Source organism: Homo sapiens, chromosome 7 (assembly GCF_000001405.40).
Source record: "Homo sapiens chromosome 7, GRCh38.p14 Primary Assembly".
Classification (NCBI taxonomy): Eukaryota; Metazoa; Chordata; class Mammalia; order Primates; family Hominidae; genus Homo; species Homo sapiens.
In genome coordinates, this window is record NC_000007.14 from 41,100,680 (window position 1) to 41,123,272 (window position 22,593).

Consider the following 22,593-nt stretch of genomic DNA (forward strand, 5'->3'; position numbering starts at 1 on the left):
ACATGGAACTTTCATAGAGGCCCCTAGCCAGCTCCAAGCAAAATATTTCTAATCTTATCCATTTTCTATATTTAGATTTCAAATAAGATTTTTTTGAAAAGGTTATATCAAAAGCCACTTCTCTATTTGCTATGCATGCAGGATTTTGCTGTATGTATACTAGGAAATGAAACTCATAGTCTAATGGGGATAATCTCTGTACGAGTGTTATACAGTTTCTCAATCTGGGGAGGATGAGTGGAGCTCATCATGGGTACCAAGTTTGTAGGTAATAAATCTTAGGAAGTTCTGTGACTCCCTTCCCACCTGATGTGCTGTAGAGTTTCATAGTTGAGGTTATTTCACTGGGGGAGAGACCCATCTGACCCTACTGAGAGGCCATTTTCTGCTTCGGGTACTGGAAAAAGAGGCTAAACATAACAACACCCTTTTGGCTTGAGGATTATTATTTGACTTGTGGAGCTCCCTTTGTTGGCAATTTCTTACTGAGAAGGATCTCCACATACCTCTGGAACTCTTTTAAGATAGGACTATATTTCTCTGTTAGGCTTTTTATGTCATCAATATTTCTCCTGCTCTATGATTCAATGGAGAGATGATAAGAAAGGAATCTCCTGGATTTCCATATATGGGTAAGCTGCATGGAAATTCTGGAAGTCTCTTGATGCCGCTTTCAAGCTCCTGACATATTCAGGAGAGCGAGATCTGGCATGCATCAAGGCAGCAAGGAGGGCACAGACTGCATTTACAGAACTACATTTTGCTTGGCAATACATTACAGGAGACATCGGCAAAACACAAAGACAAAACAAAGGTCACTTATAGAGTATTAGGATGAATGATGCCCAGCACTGCCTAGTGTGATGTCAGAATTAGAACTGAGTATAGAAGCCAACTTCAGAAACTGTGAAAGGATAGGGGAGCAGGATGACCTAGCTTAATTTGAAGAGACAGTAACTTGCTGGCATCTGGCTACTGAAAAGAACAAAATGGTTGACCTCCTAGTAGTGCCAGGGACTATCTTAAAAGCAACAATGATCAATGGGTCAGAAGTTATTAAAATAAAGAGACAAAGAAGAGGGACATTATGAAGTTAAAATGGCAAGATGTCATGATTGGTTGCTTTAGAAATGGGGCAGAATGAATGAAAATGGATGCGAATATTTCTCACCCAGGTAACGTAAGTGTCGGTAGAGTGATTAATATGAGTGGGCAATTACAGAATCTTGGCTACTTGAGGGAAAGAAATGTAGTTTTGGATATGATAAATGAAAGGAAGTAAAGAGATGAAAATTAAATCCCAGAAATCAAAAGAAAAGGTAAATCTGAGAGTCCAGGTATAAAGGTGAGACCTGAAGCCATTGCTTTGGGTCACCAATAGAGTACACATTAAGAAACCAGAGGAAAGGGCCTGGAATTGGGTAGATGAAGGAAAGCAAGAGAAGTACAGTACAGTAACTGCATAAAACAGTAATGCAGTCATTTGTTATCATTATCAAGTATTATGTACTGCACATTTTTATAAATGCTATACTTTTTATGACTAGCAGTGTAGTAGGTTTGTGTGCACCAGCACCACCCCAAACACGAGTGATGCATTGTGTTATGACTTTATGATAGCTACAACATCACAAGGAGATAGCAATTTTTCAGCTCCATTATAATCTTATGGACCCCTGTTGACTGAAATGTTGTTATGCAGCACATGGCTATGTATATGAATATACAGAAAACACATAAGCCCTTAGAAATTAAAATCTTACAGATAGCAGGCTGGGTGCGGTGACTCATGCTTGTAATCCCAGCACTTAGAGAGGCCAAGGCGGGTGGATCACATGAGGTCAGGAGTTTGAGACCAGCCTGGCCAACATGGTGAAACCCCGTCTTTACTAAAAATACAAAAATTAGCCAGTTGTCATGGCGCACACCTGTAATCCCAGCTACTCGGGAGGCTGAGGCAGGAGAATTGCTTGAATCCAGAAGGCGGAGGTTACAGTGAGCCAAGATTGCACCACTGCACTCCAGCCTGAGTGACAGAGTGAGACTCTGTCTCAAATAAATAAAAAATAAAATAAAATCTTATAGATAACAGAGATTGAAAACTCAACAGTGGGTTAGAAAATAAAGTTAAGGAACTATTCCAGAAAAATGAAAAAAGATGGAAACCAGGTTTAAAAAAGTAAAGGACAAGACCCAGAAGGCTCAACATCTGAATAACTTGTCTCTCTGGAAAAAGATAGCACACAAATAGATTGAAGACGATCATCCAAGAAGTAATTTTTTTTTTAAATGAGGTGAGTTTCCAGATTGAAAGTCTTACAGGGTGTCCAATACCAGATGAAAATAGATCCACACCAATGATCATCATTGTAAGGTTTCAGAGTGCTGGAGACAATGAAACAAAAAATCCTCTAGAGAGAAAAAAGAAAGTCTATACAGAGGATCAAGAATCAGAATGGAATCTGACTTTTTGGATTATACTAGAAGCAAAAAAAAAAAAAAAAAAAAAAAAAAAAAGACAGAACAATGCCTTTAAAACTTTGAAGGAAAAAAGAATTCCCTGCTATAATTCTATACCTAGCCAAGCTATTAATCAATTGTAAGGGTAAAAATGAAGACATTTTCAAACATGCAATGTCTCAAATACTTTGCCTTCCTTCTACTCCATTTCAAAAAGGCATTAACAGATGTTTTCTAGCAGAGGAGGTAGTAATCTAGAAAGAGGAAGAGACAGAATTCAGAAAGCAAGAGAGTCAAGTTAAACTAGAGGCAACAATGAGGAAGGGAGATTCCAGAATGACAATAGTGCCCCAGGGGCTGCAAAAAAGCCAGTCCATATTAGAACATCATGACTCAAAAGGCAGGCATGTTGAGGGCTGTTATCTCCATGATTTCTGCTCTAATACTATATTTTTAATCTGGCAGAATAGCTAAAGGAATTGCTTCTTCAAAACAAAGAAGTATGTCATTAAAGAGGTAGTCATGACACACAGGAGCTAGAGAACCCAAACAAGGAGAAAAGCAAGGGAATTCCAAGGATGATGGACAAAGGGAAGTCCCAGGATGACAGCTATGAAACAAGCCTAGAGATGTCTCAGAACAAAACAAAATTAAACTAATAAGTTGTTGAAGGATTACTGATGTCATTTATCTCATGAAAAATTAACCTGACAAGCTTTGGGAAGATGTTGAAATAATTAGCAATACATATAAAGAAAACTAAGTCAATAAAAAGACAAGGCGTGTATTAACTTCAGGAAAAGCAAAAGTAAAAAAGGAAACAGAATCATAGTACACCATAATGCTCAGTTGTGAAGAATATTTTCATATGTATAATAATACTAACACTGACTATTGGCTCGACCTCAAAATACAGTATTATTGTGAGTATATGAGAGAACACACAGAGGGAATGGTGGTATTAGAGAGCTAAATCCTAATCTATCAATATGGGAAATCAACAGATAATGTCTAAAATTGATGAATCAAAAGACAGAAGTATCATATTATTTAAGAAATATGAAGATGTATAAATACCTGAAGTAATTGCTGAGTCAAAAGTAGTTGCCTTGAGGAGGACTGTAGAAAGTGAAGAGGAATAGGGCAAGAAGCTTCTATATTCTATATTCTATATTTTTAACAAGTCTCTTAGCAGAATTTACCCTTATGCCTTATACATTATTATGGACTTGAAAATATAGCAGCAATTCACACTTCTTCCAAAAAAGAAATGATTTAACATTGACTCTTGATACCAGTAATCATGGAGGCCTGGGTTGGTATGATTATCTGGTCCAGCAATTTTGACCAAATGGATCGCTTACTCTCCAGGTACTGCAGTTGTGCCAGCACAAAGAATATAACATAGGAAGCTTTCTGCAGCTGGAGTGCAGCTACCCAGACCTCCCTGTATTTTGGCTAAGAATACCCTTCATTTAACAAAGAATTATGGCCAGGATTGGATTGCAATACGTTAACCTTTCATTTAACTTAGTTCATAATGTTGAATTGGTACTAAAATCTATTTATGGCCTTTTCCCTTTTCTACTTTCTTCCAGGAACATTATCTGGCATTCTAAACTTGGGGAAAGTCTGTATAAGGAATCTCTAAATCTTGGCAGAAAGTATAAATTGTTAGAGATCTCATGAGTAAGACCAAGCTGTGGGATGTCTCAGGATTGACCTTCTAGATCATCTTTTCCAACCTCCTCATTTTATATATTACAGAAAAAAGCAGCCAAAAAAGGACTACTTGATTTATCCAAGGCCATGCAGCTTACTAATGGCACAGAAAGGATGAGAATTCAGGTTTCCTGACTTCAGCTCCATGGCTCCTTCTTTACTGTATTACACTACTAATATAATGATACTGCAGCAAACTAAACTACACTATACTACACTGTACAACCCTGTGTCTCACACTGCATTATACCATATTGCTCTCTATATATGACAAAGCAACAAACTACACGACACCTCAGCACACCACTGTACTACTCTGTACCACACTACTTTGCACTGTGCTATGCTATGCTACAGTATACTACACTACACCACACCACTCCACACTAAACTACACTAGAAAATACTACATTACTGAAGAAATAACCTGGAATGACTTTTAATCTTTAACCTTCTGGAAGCAATCCACAGAAGTCCCCTAATATCCCTAAGTGCAAATTTATTCTAGCCCTACTTCTTTTTTTTTTTTAAGATTTTAAAGGATTTATTAAATAAAGGGAATTGAGGGCTCAAATTGGAAGTGGGCATCAGGGTCAAGGTTATCTGTTGATGTGTAAAAACTATCTCAAAACTTAGCTAGAAACAATATACTATTTTTTTTAAAAAATCATCTTTTATTGCAGATATAGTGGGAACATGTGTAGGTATGTTAGATGCGTATATTGCACCCAGATAGTGAGCGTAGTACCCAGTAGGTAGTTTACTTCTGATGCCTCGCTTCCACCTCTAGCAGTCCCCAGTGTCTATTGTTCCCAAGTTTGTGTCCATATATGCTCAATGTTCAGCTCTCACTTATAAGTGAGAACATGCAGTATTTGGTTTCCTGTTCCTCTGTTAATTCACTTAGGATTATGGCCTCCAGCTCCATCTGTGTTGTCACAAAGGACATGATTTCATTCTTTTTTATGGTTGTGCAGTATTCCATAGTGTGTATGTACCACATTTTCTTTATCCAAGTGTCCATGGATGGGCATTTAGGTTGATTCCATGTCTTTGCTACTGCAAATAGTATGGCAATACATGTACAAGTGCATGCGTCTTTTTGATAGAATGATCTATTTTCTTTTGGATGTATACCTAGTAATGGGATTGCTGGGTCAAATGATAGCTCTGTCTTAAGTTCTTTGAGAAATCTCCAAACTGCTTTCCACAGTGGCTGAACTAATTTACATTCCCAGCAACTGTGTGTAACACTTTAAAAAAAATTTCAGCTTTTATTTTAGATTCAGGGGGTACATGTGTAGGTTTGTTACATTGGTATATTGCATGATACTGAGGTTTGGGGTATGATTGACTCTGTCACCAAGGTAGTGAGCATAGTATCCAATAGTTAGTTTTTCAACCCTCCCTCCCACCGCCCCTTCTCCAGTGTCTATTGTTGCCCTCTTTATGTCCATGTGTACCCAATGTTTAACTCCCATTAATAAGTGAGAACACGCAGCATTTGGCTTTCTGTCTGTGTTTTAATTTGTAGCTCCATTTTTTTTTTTTTTGAGACAGAGTCTTCCTCTGTCACCCAGGCTGGAGTGCAGTGGTACAATCTTGGTTCACTGCAACATCTGTGTCCCAGGTTCAAGCAATTCTTCTGCCTCAGCCTCCTGAGTAGCTGGGATTACAGGCACACGCCACCACACCCAGCTAATTTTTGTATTTTTAGTAGAGATAGGGTTTCACCCTGTTGGTTAGGCTGGTCATGAACTCCTGACCTCAAGTGATCTGCCTGCCTTGGCCTCCCAAAGTGCTGGGCGTGAACCACCATGCCCAGCCATAGCTCCATTTCTTGAGCTAACACTGACTGTCTTTGTCCCACGCATCCTATCCTAAACCTCTTGCAGTCCTGCAGTGGTCTTTGGGACACAGTCACCTTCCATGTAGCAGACTGCCATACTCTTTCCTGATTTTCTGGATTGTGCTGGATGCTAATCCAGGGTCATGTCCTTGCGCTGATCCCTGCACTTCTTCATTGTTTTTTGCCCACTTGCATGGTGCCTCACTTTGAAGCCAGAGTTCTGTGGATGCCTTTCTGTTCTCAAGTCCCTTCTGTGAGATTTTGGCATCCTTTCTAACAAGCTGAGGAGTTTCTCAGCTCTGACTTTGGACTAAGAAGACCACAGCCTTGCTGTCACCTTGCCCTTTCCCCTACTCCAAGCGTTGGCACTATCCATCAAGAACTTGGGCTAAGAATGTCATTCCTACTCTTACCAGCAGTAGGAGTATCCTACTACCAGAGAAGAGTTGGATTTGGTGAGAGTATTTGGCTAAAACTTTGGCCCTTGAACTCAGGTCTGGATTTATCACTTACTAGATGGTGACCTGAATATCAGCTTCCTCACCTCAGAGATGGAGATAATAATAAGGCCTCTTCCAGAGGATTGTTGTGAGGATTAAATGTAATCATGCCTAGCCGACTTTTTGCACAGTATAGTAGGTGCTGAATAAATGTTGGGTATTTTATTTCCTTGTATCCTTTAAAAGAGCCTCGGTAACACTATCTGAAACCAAGGTTCAGGAAGGTTGAGTAACTTGTCCACAATCACAGTTACAAGGGATGGAAATGAGACCAGAAGCCCATGTTCCAACCACTTCCATATCCTGCCTCTTTGAAAATCAAGCCCCTGGCCAGTCTGAATTTCTGAGCAATGCTCTGCCCACCTGTTGGGCAGCTCCAGCTTGGATCCCCCCTGGTGTCAGGCGTCTGTCTGAATCGTGACGAGAACATGTTGATCCCTGTTGGACCTGTGCCTAGCCCACCCAGCAGAAACTTCCCCGCCAGCCTCTGCAGCAAGTACAGCTCTCTCAGCTCCCGTTCCAACCTACAGAGCAGAGCTGGTGCCAATGCTGCTCTCTGCCCCAGGCCTGTCTGGCTGCAGGTAGGCTGCTCTGACTCACCGGAGAATCCTGAGCTCTGACTCACTTTTTGTCTAATATCTTTTGCAGGGTCAACATGATAGCCACATATGGAAGGGGCGTGGAGAAGAAAGGATAGGGGAAAAAGAAGAAAGGTTGTTTTTACCATCAGCCCCGTGTTGAAGTCAACAGGAAATGGCCCAGTGTGGATCAACCACCATACTGTCCCGAGTAAAAGGGAATGATGATCTCTTCTGAGTGACTTAAGAGTTAATCAGGACCAGGTCGAGAGTTTATCACCCAGAGTTCCATGTTTGAATTTTGGAGAATTCCCTTTGTTTCATTTCAGCACATTCACTTCAGTGCCCGTGTCTATTTTAATAGCCTGGAATGCAATTCCCTTTGCCCATTATTCTCTTTCACTATGGGTTTTTCCGACCCTCGGGGTAGATTTATGCTTCTAGTTGAATGATTACTCAGTGAATGTTTGCCAAGGGATGTTCTGTTCCAAGAATGACACATCTCTTTGGGGATGACTCTTTACCTAACCAGGGTGGGTGGGAGGTCAGGGGAAGCCCCTACCCAGAAGAAAATAGTTTCTTTGTGTGCTTGAAGAAAAACACTCAGATGATGAACAGCCTGATTTGGGGGCTGTGTGTGGGTGAGCCACTCCAGTGAAGTCGTCCTCAACGCTCCCTCAGAAGGAGATTATGAATTTAATGAGCAGAAGAATTCTGACAAGCCTTAAAGCCAAAGGCAATTAGCAAAGGATGAATAACTTGAATTCTTTGCAGTTATGAAATAATTTCATCCTAATGAAATTACACATGCATATATCTTTAAAATATGTTTTATCTATATATCTACATGGCACAAAAGACTATAATGTAATCTTCTATGTGCATATACAAGCATTTCTTACTGTGCATTCAGTGACACACTAGTACTAGGAGATGGGACATGAAAGTAGAGTGCCATGGTCAAATCTAATTGGAAATGCTACATGCTAGAGCTCCAACATGTATGCACAAAGGCCATTGGGATATTGTCCTTGGATAATGGGGACATCCCCATTGGGATATAAATATTCTGAGAAATCTTACAGTAAGGATCTTGTTTATTGACTCTCACATTTCAAATATATTTGAACACACAATAATTTCCCTGCCCTAATACCTACTAATGTCCTCAAAGAATCAATGCTCTACAATGCACTTTGAGGAATGCTGTGATACTGTAATATGACAGTTTTTGCAGGGCAGACCAAAATGTTCTCTTCTTTGATGATGTCAATGCTGAAAATATTTTTGCCATTCATGTTTTGCCATTGCTTTAAAATACTATGTGAGGCTCTTTAGAATGTTGTAAATGATGGTCAAACTTTGTTCTTTGAGGTGATTTGGTTTTTAGAAACTACCTTTACCCAAATGTATGTCTATTGAAATTAGGCAAGTGACTGATTAAGCCAAGCCATACAAGTCAACAGCAAAATATATCTGTCTGACTGAAAAAAATAAGCTTTTGAGGTCTTTCTCACTTCATAACTGGATAATTACACCAACTTTTGGTCTGGATTCCCCATCTCTGCCTTTTCCCTGCCTTATGCTATAACACTGGACCAACCTTTCTAAATTCAACGATACCGGGTCACTTTCCTTAATCAGAGCCTTGGGGGTCCCTGGGATGAGTCTTTCCTGCATTGCCCCATTTTAAAGATTTCCAAGAATCCCCATGCATGCAACCTTATTTTCTTCCACTCTCCTAATCCATGACATTTTCAAACTCGCGTTCTTAGTGTCTTGAAATTTCCTGGGACCTCCTTGTCTTGTGCCAATTGCCTGAGATATTCAACTTTCTTCCTTTGACCAATGTATAATTACTTAAGACCCCACTTATTCTTTATCTTTTCTTATAGCATTATTAAGTATGCACATATTCATCAACGTGATTGTTCTCTAGATGTCTTCAAGATTTCTAGGCTATATTTCAGTCTGAAGAAAGAGGACCTATAGAAAAATGACATAAAATATAAGAAATCATTATAATTCTGGAATATATGATATACTCTGGAATACCTGAGATGGTCTCAGATATGTGTCACATTTTCTCATGTAACATAATTTAGCAAAGAATTATTTACTCCCATAACATAGGACAATTACTTCATATTGCTGACTCTCAACAGCATTTTAAGGTATTCGATGCCAAAGAGTCACATCTTTCAGTTTTTCTGACTTCTTCTTGCATGTGACACATGTGCAATCTTCTCAAATCTTTTCTAGTATGAGGAAGAGTAAAAAATAAATTTTAACTACTTTATAAAAATGTATTGATTATTTTATATGTCAGAGTTTCAGTGGAAACAAGATAGTTAGGCAGTTTCTGCTTAGGTTAATGTTTTGTCAATTTCTCCATTCCTCCATTCTATCCTACAATCAAACCATTCCTTCTGGTCTAGGTGCCATTCATTTGGGAGAGACAAAGAGTGTCTTGTGTAATTCAGGAATCCACTAATATGGTACTTTCCAAAAAAAAAAATGATACATGAGGATGACCTAAAGAAGTAAGAATGCATAGCCCCAATCCCTGTCTGTTTCCACACCTGGCCATAGCCCTTCTATATATTCACCATATTGCTCTGAGGGTGTGAGCCATGACTCCTCTCTGGAAAACTCAGCATTACGTAATGTGTGGTTAAGCCCCTGAGAAACACTGTAGATATAGTATTAGACCAATAATGTGAGGAAGATGAGGTATGAGTGCTTTATGATAAACTGCAACACTGAGGATCATTAAATGCCATTTCTGACCCCTACTCTGTCTACATTTCATTGTTACCTTGGTAGCAAATTGGCTTTAATTATTATTACAAAATTCTGGTAGACTGGCATATCATCATAATGGCAAACTCTAGGTTCTGCCCAATTGCCTTACCATTTAAAAACATTTCAAATTTGCAGTACACTGGTCTGATAATTTATTTCCATGAATACCCCATTTCCCGCTGAAGAGCGGAAGTTATAGAATTTGAGTAACTTCACTGGGACAAAAGAAACTCTGGAGCCCATGGCACACCAAAACCTGCAGGTGTGCTAATGCTAGAAATGAGCAAAACATTTATGAATAAATTCAGCACTTTGGTCCTACTGTATATGACCTGACAATGACTAATACTTATTATTATTATTTATTATTATTAGGATGTTTATATGATCCTAGTATGCTGCAGTGACGTATAAGATCTTCATTGTGGAAAATGTTTTCCCCAGATGATCGTCCAGGTTTCAGAGGCATGGACACAGAGCTGGAAGTGAGGGACAGAGGTCATCTCCTGGGCGAGTTACCGATCTGTATAGTGATGATTGGCAGAATATTAGAGTGCAAAGGCACAGTGATAGATACCCTGCTGAAAAGTACACATCACAGCCATTCTTTTAGACTTGTAGAAATTTGGAGATGTCTATGTGACTTAAAGTGTCACCTGATTTTAACCCTTTCATCATTAAATCCATTGATGTAAAAAATGTAACATGAGAAAAATTAAATCCTGTGTATTTTTTCTTGGAGAGAGGATTGTTACAGTTAGGGTTTCCACATAATTTACCTTCCAAATCAGGCCAATTTAAAAAAATTGCACATCATAATTGTGCATACTTACGGGGTACACAGTGGTGTTCTGATACACATAATGTATAGATCAGATTATCATCTCAAACATTTTTTTTTTGTTTTGGGAACATTCAATATCCTCCTTCTAGCTCTTTGAAATGATATAATATACTATTGTTAACTATTCATCTTACAGTGTCATCACATGCTAGATCTTATTCCTCCTATCTAGCTATAATTTTGTATCCTTCAACAAATCTCTTTCTATGACCTCCTTCCCCCTCTCTTTCCCAGCCTGTAGTATCTTCGGTTCTACTTTTTACTTTTATAAAAGATCCAGTTTTAAGAGAGAAAGGGACCACAGCTAATACTTAATGCTGGAACAACAGATATAAATCTGGGATACTAAATTGTACTATACAGTACTAAATTGGGGTTTAGAATGTATCCTGAAAAGTTAAAATGCAGATGGTACTTAAAAGAAAGCAAGGGATATAAAAAAAGATGCAAAAATTAAATAACAAATAGATCATTAAAAAGTGCATATCAGTCTCAGATATTTAAAATTACTCCCTTCCTTGAACTCAATAGTCAAATACTCAAAAACATTTCTCGTTGAAAAATGATCTTGAGAAGGACAGCCCCAGGAGAAGTGTTTGGTGTGCACGAATTCTAAGCTCCAGTGTTTCTCACGAATGGGGTAGAGGAAGACCCTGGCTTTGACTCCCACAGGACCTTCTTTCCTCCCCATTGGCGATTAGTCACTCCATGTTTAAAACTGAAACGTTCATTTTAAATACTACAAAAATGTGGCACAGAGCGCAGGCAAGGCATCTGTTCCAGCAAAATGTTATGTTTTGATCATTTTCAGAAATGATTTTTCTGTTTTTAAAGAAAGTGTGTGGACATGGGGATGAGTCAGTCAATCTGAGGGGTACTGTATGCTGGGTTATTTTGAAAGCTGCAAAATTTAAAAATACATGGAAAGAAAATAATTTTCCTTAAATATTATTTCAATTTTATTCTTTGACTTAGTATTTTTTTTTCTTTTTTAATCTTTCCATAGCATCAGATTCCTTGCCAGAGGAAAAAAATGCCATCCTTGAAGGCAGCTATAGAATCATCATCATATGGAATTCTAGATACAGGCCTACAAAAATGTTTATACTTGTATTCAAAGATCTAGGTAATCTTTATTGGAAAAAGTGGCATATCTTATGCAAAGGTGATGTACTTAGATATATAACTGCACTTTTTAAAAAAACAGTTCCTGATTACTCAAATATTACCAAAAATCTATCTATTCCCTGAATAGAACTTCTACCACTTAATATTAGATCTACTACTCAAGTGCAATTGTACAAAAATTGTATCATAACCTCAATATTTTCAATCCTAATACATACGCCCTTTCATTTTCTGAAATGAAATGCATTTAGTTTACTAACATTGGTTCATAGCCCCCGCCCTGCCCAAATGTAGGCTGTTCTCCAAAATCAGAATATTTGGAAGTCTTAATGTAGGACACAATAAAACAAAATTTCAGTAAGATTTCTCTTACTTTTTTTTTTTTTTTCTCTGTAGTCTTGCAGTATTCCTTTTCCATAGACCCTCAAAAGTAAGCTGAGCCAGCCACTCTGTTTCTGGGCATACTCATGTAGTTTGGTCTCACTTTGCTAGCTCAAATCCCCACTGAGGAAGAAACCCTCAAGTTCTAGTAGAGAAAAAACACCAGCTTGCTGTGTTTTCCAAAGCAGATCACCTTATATATGTCCATTTCTTTATCTGGAGAAATGGGAAGACGTGACAGTTATCTACCTCCAATCATAGATTGCTGAATTCTGAGACGTTAGAAATTACTTGTGTTTGTAAAGCATGTACCAGTTAGAGTTTAAAATTCCACCATATTGGTTGAACCAGATCAGAACAGCCACCTAACCAACTATTTTTATCTTGATCTGTTCATTTTGGCCATCTAAAGCAGCACAATCAATTGGACCAACCATTCTGAGATACAAATTGGCTGGTAAGAAAGCCAAAACACCAGATTGGCTGCTTTTTTTAATTGGTGTTTTTCACGATATGAAAATATTGGGTGAAAATGGAAAAACTGAGTCAAAGATCCAGATGTTTGATCTTCCTGTTGCCAAATAGCCACACATTTTGTAGCATTCATATTTGCAACTGAATTTCTCAGCTTTCACCAGAAAGCCTGTCATCATATAGATATAGCCTTAGAAGATCTGTAAACACAAAACTGATATGGTCCCAAGAAAAAAGAATCTCTTTTACCCAAGATAACAGTTGCTTGTGTATCTGCTGTTTTTTCCTTACTAGGCAGTTTCCTGAAAAGTAAGGGACAAGGGCTATTGTTCAAAATCCTGTAGTGTTCCCATCTTTATCTAGGCCTAAATCTGCCTAGAAAGGAGCATACCTATGTAAGCTGATTAACAGCCACAAGAAGAGCTTCTCTCCTGAATTGATCCAATTAGTAATTCAGATGTAGATACAAAAGCATCACTGCATCATTGCCAGGGGCATGACACAGCCCAGGTCTTTTCAATTGACTTGTCTTGTTAAACACTGACCAGGACTTCTGTTAGACATTGGAATGGGTGCATCAAGCTGTTCTATATATTCTAAATCCAGTCTGCTAACAACACTTACATAGTTCAAATGAGCTTAGCAAAAATGAATACTATTACCCTTAAGCATGTGTGGTGGGGGCAGGGGGATAAAGTTACGAGTTAAATGTATTGTCATTTTGCCTATTTTTGATGGCTGACATTTGTTTGCATTGCTTCTTCTGCACCCAGGCACATATTAATTCAAAGCCACAACCACAGTATGTATTATCTGTAATTTTTCTTTTCTCCTCCTTGGATTCACTCCTCTTGAAATATCACATTTTAATTATGTGCATAGCAATGACTTCATTGCTTCTTAACTCAGCAGCAGCCAACTCATTTTCCCCCGATGGTATGATGACCTGTCCTGTGGGAGAAATCCATCTGTTTATATTCTTTAAGCTGTATCTACACAAGGAACAGGTTTTGTATGTTTTGAAACCATCTTTCCTCATTTCACTACTTATTGCTTGCCTAGAAAGGAGAAAGCAAGGAACCAAGAGGAAATCATCACATTCAGTAAGCATTTCTAGCAAAACTAATAAAGTAAGCACATTTGCATAAAGAACATGGCCTAAAAATTAGCAAAGGCCATGGATTCCACCCAAGGTAAGTATTTTATCTCAGTGTCAAATACATGTATAAACCAATTAGCATAGGACTTCGTATACAGAGTAATAAATAATACCTATATTTTTCATTGGGATTATATATGAAAGGACCAAAAGATGAAATATTTGACCCTTGGTAATGTGTGAATGTTAATGAAAACTCTTTCTGCAGACCCGATTGTCTATCTGATGCTAATAATAGGTTTATAAAGGAAAGTGATTTTACCTGTCTGGCATGAATTCCTGGCTTGACAGTAAACATTGTTTGAAATGTACTTAATAGAGTGCCTTCAAAAGAAATTTTGTACTGTCAACTTACTTTTACAAGTAATTGGAGAAGATTGTTATCACCTGTCACAGGAAATCTTTAAATGAGAAGGGTTTATTCCAGGAAGAATGCAGTGTTCATCTGTAGAACGTTTTGCTCACCCATATAGTTTCTGGGTTCCACCATGGTCTTCACTGATGATGGCCCATTGTGAATTGTGGAAATTCTGTACAATGAGATAATGTCTCAGATTTGGATCCAGAGAAAACTCTAAGAGCAATCCTGGGACAGAGCTGGTAAAAGATTGGAAAAGTGCCCGTCTCAGTCTGTAGGGAAGGCACATCTTCACAGGAAAGAATGAATATAATTCTTCTGCACACTCACTCATCAAAGAACTAGGTAGAGACCCATGAGGATACAAAGCATTGTTTAATCTAAGCAATGTCAAATTTAGTCAATCCCCGGCAGCCCATAACGATAGCCAAGCATAGCCTCATTCAGACATAAACAGGCTCAATTTTAGAACTAATACAAATTTAGATAAGCAGGATATTCTTAGGTTCCTCACAAACAGTTAGAAATGGAAGATAGTTTATTACTGTCCTATCCCTGAGCTTGGAGGTGGACAGGGGGCTGGGTATCCGTGAGAGTGTGCTACTTCAGCTTTACTTCCTAATCCCACTGTGATGCAGACTGTATGGCTGGCCCTTCTGCTCAGCCATCATTTTTTTCTTACTGATTCCTTCACATAACTGAATTAGGGATCTGAAAAGTTTCTCTAATTCTGAGAGATCCAGGCTCATCTATGAACCCTAGGCATATTACATTTCACCATTATTTGGAAAAAAGAAAGAAAAGCATAGTAAATATACGAAGAGCTAAGAGGACAGAAGAATCATTTTGGGCTAGAACATTCAGAAAAATGCTCCCAGAGGGAAAATAATATGTATTGGGTTTTGAAGGATAGATAAAAGCTGATAATAAAGACATTCTAAGAAAGCAAATGATGAAAGAGAAGAGAAATCTGATTTGCAGGGAATAACTAGGAAGAAAATACTAGTGCTCAGGAAGTTGATTTTGTTTCATCTCTACTTCCTCAGTGAGGAGCAACACCTAGACACTCTTACTATTTTCTCCAGCAACCTTATGAGACCAATATTTATTTATTTATTTATTTATTTATTTTATCAGAAGAGAGGACATTATGTTCATGATTGCTTCTTTTCAGGTAACGGTTTTAGACTTATGTCAATTACATTCCCCGAATCCTGGTGAAGCATGTTTCATTATCCTTAAACATTGTGCCAATTATCGAGCTGTTGTCTTTCAGTTTCAAATTCACCCTTCTGCTATCAGCTTTGGGAAAGTGAGCCTGGGATTCTGAAAACCACTTTTCTGCCTGGTCGGAGGGTACCATATTAGACTCTGCCAGTGCAAGGACTGGGGGAGACTGTAGAGCTGGAGCAGGGAGAAGGACTTGCTCGTTCCTGTCTGATTCTTGCTCCAATGCTTCTTCACTCTAGCAGTGAGGTTGCCTTTCTGGAGCAGCAGCTGAATCTAGCTAGCAGTTTTTCCAACTCAGAATCAGGCTTACGAAATTCTTCTCAGAGACACCAGCAATACACTGGGCCTTCTTGTAGGCCTGGATTCCCACACCACAGAGCTACCTCTCCAAGCTTCTAAGGGTTGAAAGTTCCAGCTTCTTTCCTTAATTCCCCAGCCCTATGGGTGGTGGCTCTTTCTTGCGGTTGTGCCCTCCATGATACCTTAGAATCCTCCTTTCACTCTCTCAGTTCTTCTATACATAATTAACAGTTCTTTATATGAAATTCTCTCCATTAAAATAACCTGAGTGATTTCAGTTTCCTAACTGGACCCTGACTGAATCACAGATGAAGAACCTAAAACTTAAATAGATTATTTAGTTAATTAACTTTTTTAAGTTTCCACAACTAACTTGTAATGCTGGTGGTCTAGATTTGAACTACAGCTCTTCTGACTAATGTCTTACTCTTTTAGCCCTCACTATAATTAGCCTCCAGCTAGACACCTGCAGAGACACAGCATTTTTTTCCAACTATTGCAACCCACTTGAATTAGTCAAGACTTTTATGGTTTTAGGTGGTAGAAATCCAAACAGAGCTAGGTTAGCACAAAGGAAGAATTTCTTGACTCACATAACTATATGTTGGGAAACGAAAGGGTAGGAGGGGGATTCTGCTGAATGTATGGCCAGGCCTTAGCCCTGTACCTGGGACAGAGGAGTCTCTCTTCCCTACCCTCAGCCTCCACTACAATATACACACATGCCCACATCTCTCCTTCCTGTTTCATTTTTTCAGATTGCAGGAAACCCACCTGCTGGGTTATATGTTCCAATTTCACCACCAGAGAGACCAAAGACTTGTTTTTTCTCCCTCTGATCCCAAGCTCAAAAATCCCAGGAAAGGGATCTGCTGGTACATTTTGGATCAGGAGTTCATACCTGTTCCAATCACTGATGAATGGTTGTAGGGAAAGGCTAGAGGGTGACACCAATGCCTTTCCAGTTTGGAATAGGTATCTTTTCCCAGTGACCATAAATAGTAGTCAAGGGGAAGGATTTATAAACCAAGAGAAGCTCCCACGTAAACCCCAAAGTTAAAATAGAGGAAGGATTTCCCAGCAGAAGCTTGTATGCTAGTCTAGGCAAGCAAAACAATAGATGTCTAATATCTTACTCTTGCTATAAACTTTGCATTCTTACTCTGCATGCCTACGGTACAATAATAAATCACATCTATGTTTTGTAGAAACAAGCTATAGATCATTGCTAATTAAATGCATGGGTTGTTTTGGTAAGTGACTAGTCCTGCAAATACTGGATTTTGAAATGTCTTCCTTTTCTTTTTATAATGTTGCTATGAAGTCTTTCATAATAGTTTAAATGTGTTAATGAATCAATATATAGTCATAAGCCTCAAACACTAAAGATCTTTCAGTCAGTATTACTGGGGCCAACTCTGACATTCATAGGATGACAAGAATTTATTTTAAAATAAATTAACACCCTTTGGGAGGCCGAGGCTGGTGGATCACGAGGTCAGGAGTTCGAGACCAGTCTGGCCAACATAGTGAAACCCTGTCTTTACTAAAAATACAAAAAATTAGCTGGGTGTGGTGGTGTGGGCCTGTAATCCCAGCTACTTAGGAGGCTGAGGCAGGAGAATCACTTGAACCCCGGAGACGGAGGTTGCAGTGAGCCGAGATCGTGCCGTTGCACTCCAGCCCAGGCGACAATGTGAGACTCATCTCAAAAAAATAAACAAATGATAAATAAATTAATTAACAAATACTAAGCACCGTGTCTTAGGTGCTGGTTTTGGAGTTTTACATTTTATTAGCACCACAATGACCCTGTGAAGTGAGCATGATTGTTCCCTCTTTTCAGAGGAGGAAATTAAGGCTTGGTGAGAGTAAATCACTTACCCAAATTGATGAAATTAGTAGGCAGTCAATGCAGGGGATTATAATGTAGATCTAAAGGATTTAAAGCCACATTTTATGTGCACTACATCAGGTTTTCCTCACTGAGCTCTGTGGAGTGCAGTTTTTGGCAGAGACACCTCAGGGGCCACTACGAGCTCCAGTCAGCTGGACTTGGGCATCTGACTTCACCTTGCCCCCATCTCTGCATCAGAGAGCAGCTCTGCCTTCATACTGTGTTAGTTCAGGGCTTCTTTTGAGGCTGTCTTTAAAATAAACTAAACCATGGTAACTTTATACTAGCAGCATCTCTGCCCTCCACTCACTAGATGCCAGCAGCACTCCCTTCTCTAGTGGCAGCAATAAAAAATGTCGCTTTGGCTGAGTGCAGTAGCTCATGCCTGTAATCCCAGCGATTTGGGAGGCTGGGGCCAGGAGTTTAAGACCACCCTGTGTAACGTGGCCAAGACCCCTATCTCTACAAAAAAAAAGTTTCCAGATGTGGGATTGGTAAATGTCCCCTGGATGGTAAAGTAAAATCGTGCCCCAGTTGAGAACTATTGTTTTTAAAAAATCCATCTCTTTTTTGTCTGTTTTTGTTTTTGTTTTTGTTTATAGAGGAAAAAGGTTTAATCGACTCACAGTTCAGCCTGGCTGGGGAGGCCCCAGGAAACTTACAATTATGGCAAAAGGTGAAGGAGGCCCGAGGAAACTTACAGTTGTGGCAAAAGGTGAAGCAAACATCCTTCTTCACATGGTGGCAGAAAGGAGAAGAATGAGCAAAATGGGGAAGAGCCCCTTATAAAATCATCAGATCTCGTGAGAACTCACTCACTATCATGAGAACAACATGGAGGTAACTGCCCCTGTGATTCAATGACCTCCCACCGGGTCCCTTCCACAACATGTAGGAATTACGGGAACTACAATTCAAGGTGAGATTTGGGTGGGGACACAGCCAAACCATATCACTATCTTTTATGATATTTTATATGCAACTTAGTGTATTGCCTACTTTCATAATTATTTATTTATTTTTAATTTTTAAATTTTTTAAAATTTGTCCATAAGTTATTGGAGTACAGGTGGTATTTGGTTACATGAGTAAGTTCTTTAGTGGTGATTTGTGAGATTTTGATGCACCCATTCCCTGAGCAGTATAAACTGCACCATATTTGTAGTCTTTTATCCCTCGCCCCCTCCCACTCTTCCCCCAAAGTCCCAAAAGTCCATTGTGTCATTCTTATGCCTTTGTGTCCTCATAGTGCACCTCCCACATATCAGTGAGGACATACGATGTTTGGTTTTCCATTCCTGAGTTACTTCACTTAGAATATTAGTCTCTAATCTCATCCAGGTCACTGAAAATGCTGTTAATTTATTCCTTTTTATGGCTGTGTAGTATTCCATTGTATATGTGTACTAAAGTTTCTTTATTCACTTGTTGATTGATGGGCATTTTGGTTGGTTCCACGATTTTGCAATTGTGAATTGTGGTAAATATGCGTGTGCAAGTATCTTTTTTGAAGAATGACTTCTTTTCCTCTGGGTAGATACCCAGTAGTGGGATTGTTGGATCAAATAGTAGTTCTACTTTTAGTTCTTTAAGGAATCTCCACACTGTTTTCCATAGTGGCTGTACTAGTTTACATTCCCACCAGCACTGTAAAAGTGTTCCCTGTTCACCACGTCCACACAAACATCTACTTTTTTTTGATATTTTGATTATGGTCAATCTTGCAGGAGTAAGGTGGCATTGTATTGTGGTTTTGATTTACATTTCCCTGATCATTAGTGATGTTGAGTATTTTTTCATATATTTGTTGGCCATTTGTATATCTTCTTTTGAGAATTGTCTATTCATGTCCTTAGCCCACTTTTGGTTGGGATTGTTTGTTCTTTTCTTACTGATTTCTTTGAGTTCATTGTAGATTCTGGATATTAGTATTTTGTCAGATGTATAGATTGTGAAGATTTTCTCCCACTCTGTGTGTTGTCTGTTTACCCTGCTGACTGTTCCCTTTGCCATGCAAAAGTTCTTTAGTTTAATTAGGTCCCAGCTATTTATCCTTGTTTTTATTGCATTTGCTTTTTGGTTCTTGGTCATGAAATCCTTGCCTAAGCCAATGTCTAGAAGGGTTTTTCCAATGTTAACTTCTAGAATTTTTATAGTTTCACATCTTAGGTTTAAGTCTTTAATCTGCCTTGAGTTCAAGTTTGTATAAGGAGAGAGCTGAGGATCCAGTTTCATTCTCCTACATGTGGCCAGCCAGTTATGTTTTTTTTTTTTTTTTCTTTTGAGATGGAGTCTGGCTCTGTCACCCAGGCTGGAGTGTAGTGGTGCGATCTCGGCCCACTGCAACCTCCGCATCCCGGGTTCAAGTGATTCTCCCACCTCAGCCTCCAGAGTAGCCAGGATTACAGCCACACGTCACCACGCCCAGCTAATTTTTTGTATTTTTTTGTAGAGATGGGGTTTCACCATGTTGGCCAGGCTGGTCTCGAACTCCTGATCTCAAGTGATCCACCTGCCTCAGCCTCCCAAAGTGCTGGGATTACGGGCGTGAGCCACTGTGCCCAGTTCTCTTCTAATACAAAGATACTCTTAATGGATTTTAATGATTTTTTTAAAAAATGGGTTTTAAAAAAATGGAACCAGGGCATCATAATGTGTTATATTTATAAACACCTGAGTTCAAAATGATATTGAACTGTTGTTTTTATTGAAATCTTTACCCAGGTCATCACATTTTGAAAGCTTTAAAATGCTACAGCCAAACGCTGAACGATTATCTTAAGTATTAAGAAATTTGCTTCTAATTTGTGGCTTTTGATGTTGTTCTTCATTAATACTCAGGCTTGTTGAGAGAAGCAGAGCATCTTAGCACCAGAAGGAATGTCAAGAGGTTATTGGCTGCACCACTATGCCTACCTGCAAATCAACATCTGGACCATTCCTAGATCAGTGTTTAAGAGCAGGGAATCATGGGCACTGGCTGTATCTAATTATTGCCAGATAATATCACCTAAAATGAAAGTTCCTTAATGTTTGCCTGACACATCATTGGCAATCTCATTCAGCAAGCTACTTCATTTATTTAGCTTGGCATAATTCTCAAGCACACACAAGAATTATCTCCTGATCAAAGCTAGGCATCATATGGGCTTTATTGAGGCTGTTTTATGGTTAAGCTGGGAAACCCTTTCACTCACCTGTAAAATTTGTAAGACAAATTATTTTGATCATACAAATTGAAGAAAATTGGACCTCAATGGCTCATTTTTATGTTTTAGAGAGCTTTCAAAAATTATTTTATAAGGGTAATTTTTATTCTGCCTATAAGTTCTCTTTGTCTGACTTCCCAGTTAGGGTATGATGATCTTTTATTTAGTTATGTGTCATTGATAGGTGACTCAGTTTTTCTTTGGGAGATGCCATTCTCACCCATCTCCTCCGTAACTAGCAACAGGATGGCATATTAAGGGATTTGCTTCTGATTCCACTGGAAACACAAATTATCTGTGTATTAGCAAAGCAACACGTATAAAGGATTTCCTAAGGATAGTTAGTCTATTTCCCTAGAGATCCTTAAATTGTGAGGCCCAAGGGTTTTAAAAGGGTTATGAACACCAAAAATAAAAAATGTATGCAAAAATGTGTGTTAAATTTAGGGAGGTAAGGAAGCTGGAGAGATTTTCAGATATCTTAGTCCAAAAATATTGCCCTTTTAAACAAAGTCAGGGGAACTGAGAATTATATAATCTGTAGCAGTCTCCTCTGTAGAATTGGTTTGACTGATTGTGCTTTGTTGATATGTCATAAATCCTGAAGGCATGCCTTAGGATACTAACAGCTGTTTCTCCCATAGAGATGTTTGTGGAGAGTGTTTTCTGTTGCATTATGCAGTTTATTCTTCATGAGTAAACCTTGGGGAAAAAAATTCTCTTTTAGTGTAAGTGTGAAGAATAGCTATGCATCCACTGACCAATTATTTGGTGTTTATATTATGGGCAAAAGAAATTGTGTGACTACCCACATTTCTCTCCTCATCTTGGCTGTGGGAAAGCCTAATGCTCAATTTGTGGCCCAGTTTTAGCAACTGTACAGGACTCCTTGGTATGCTTGATTGGATCAGACACATTCTTGGTTCCATTTTCTGTCCCTGGGGCTGTTTTTCTTTATTCTTTTTTTCCTCAAAATCCTAATATTTATATTACTGTGCTGTTTATAACTGTTTATGAGATCCAAACCTGTTTTGAAACAGGATAGATTGTAAATACACTCTTTTTAAATAGTAACAAATAACTAAAATGAAAAAGAACAAAGCCAAATGATTAATGGCATTCTGTGGCTGGGGAAGATGCTGATGATAAAAAGGACGTTCACATACGAATAGGAATTCTTCCAATAGAGAAAGTAGAAGAGGAAGCATTGCTGCAGGAGGATTGCAGCAACAATGGCATTAGATAAGCCTGAGGAGTTCAAAAGGAGAGCAGCAGCCCTTGTTTGCATGGATTGAGACTGGAGAGAGTAGGAGGAACATCATGGTTTGCAAGCTAAATTAGACTCAGGTTGTGAAATGCCTCGTTTACTGTGCTATGGGTGTGGCTTTATCTCGTAGACAATGGAAAATGACCAAGTAATTTAAGTCACAAAAGTGGTGTGATCAGAATGTACCCCAGGAAGATAACTCTAGTGACCCTGAGGAGGAGGAAATGGAACTAATGGAGAGAATGAAGGCATGAAGACCTGTTTGGGTCATTTATAGCCTGCTTGTTTGTTTGTTTGTTTGTTTGTTTCCCCATCTCAGAGCCAACTTCAATAAAAACCAGACCAAGTTATGTAGGAATAGCCTCTTTGCCTCCAGAAAATGAGGTCTAAAAAAAAAAAAATCTTGGTGTCCTGATCCTGGAGTCCTGGACT

General features: G+C 38.8%; 2 long non-coding RNA genes across 2 annotated transcripts in view, besides 3 other annotated features; one reads left to right on the top strand and one right to left on the bottom strand.

Moving 5' to 3' along the window:
- Positions 1-924: 924 nt before the first annotated feature.
- The window catches only part of LINC01449 (long intergenic non-protein coding RNA 1449), a 31,898-nt gene continuing 10,229 nt past the window's right edge, over positions 925-22,593 (top strand). The window contains exons 1-4 of the long non-coding RNA NR_110832.1: positions 925-1,180; positions 7,180-7,244; positions 11,765-11,884; positions 18,288-18,604. This is a non-coding gene — a long non-coding RNA (long intergenic non-protein coding RNA 1449). The remainder of the gene's footprint in view (positions 1,181-7,179; positions 7,245-11,764; positions 11,885-18,287; positions 18,605-22,593) is intronic.
- Positions 2,817-2,866: an enhancer, noted in NCBI's record as "active region_25894". NCBI's record gives its function as "activates an Ori minimal core promoter by ATAC-STARR-seq in GM12878 lymphoblastoid cells {active_cell/tissue: GM12878}" and the evidence as "EXISTENCE:reporter gene assay evidence [ECO:0000049][PMID:35858748]".
- Positions 2,877-2,926: an enhancer, noted in NCBI's record as "active region_25895". NCBI's record gives its function as "activates an Ori minimal core promoter by ATAC-STARR-seq in GM12878 lymphoblastoid cells {active_cell/tissue: GM12878}" and the evidence as "EXISTENCE:reporter gene assay evidence [ECO:0000049][PMID:35858748]".
- Positions 6,631-7,830: an enhancer, noted in NCBI's record as "P300/CBP strongly-dependent group 1 enhancer chr7:41146908-41148107 (GRCh37/hg19 assembly coordinates)". NCBI's record gives its function as "activates an origin of replication core promoter dependent on BRD2, BRD4, P300/CBP, MED14 and CDK7 cofactors, with strong dependence on P300/CBP, by STARR-seq in HCT116 cells {active_cell/tissue: HCT116}" and the evidence as "EXISTENCE:reporter gene assay evidence [ECO:0000049][PMID:35650434]".
- Positions 8,189-22,593, bottom strand: part of LOC105375241 (uncharacterized) — a 40,928-nt gene continuing 26,523 nt past the window's right edge. The window contains exons 3-4 of the long non-coding RNA XR_927190.1: positions 14,256-14,430; positions 8,189-9,095 (exon numbers count right to left, since the gene is read on the bottom strand). This is a non-coding gene — a long non-coding RNA (uncharacterized LOC105375241). The remainder of the gene's footprint in view (positions 9,096-14,255; positions 14,431-22,593) is intronic.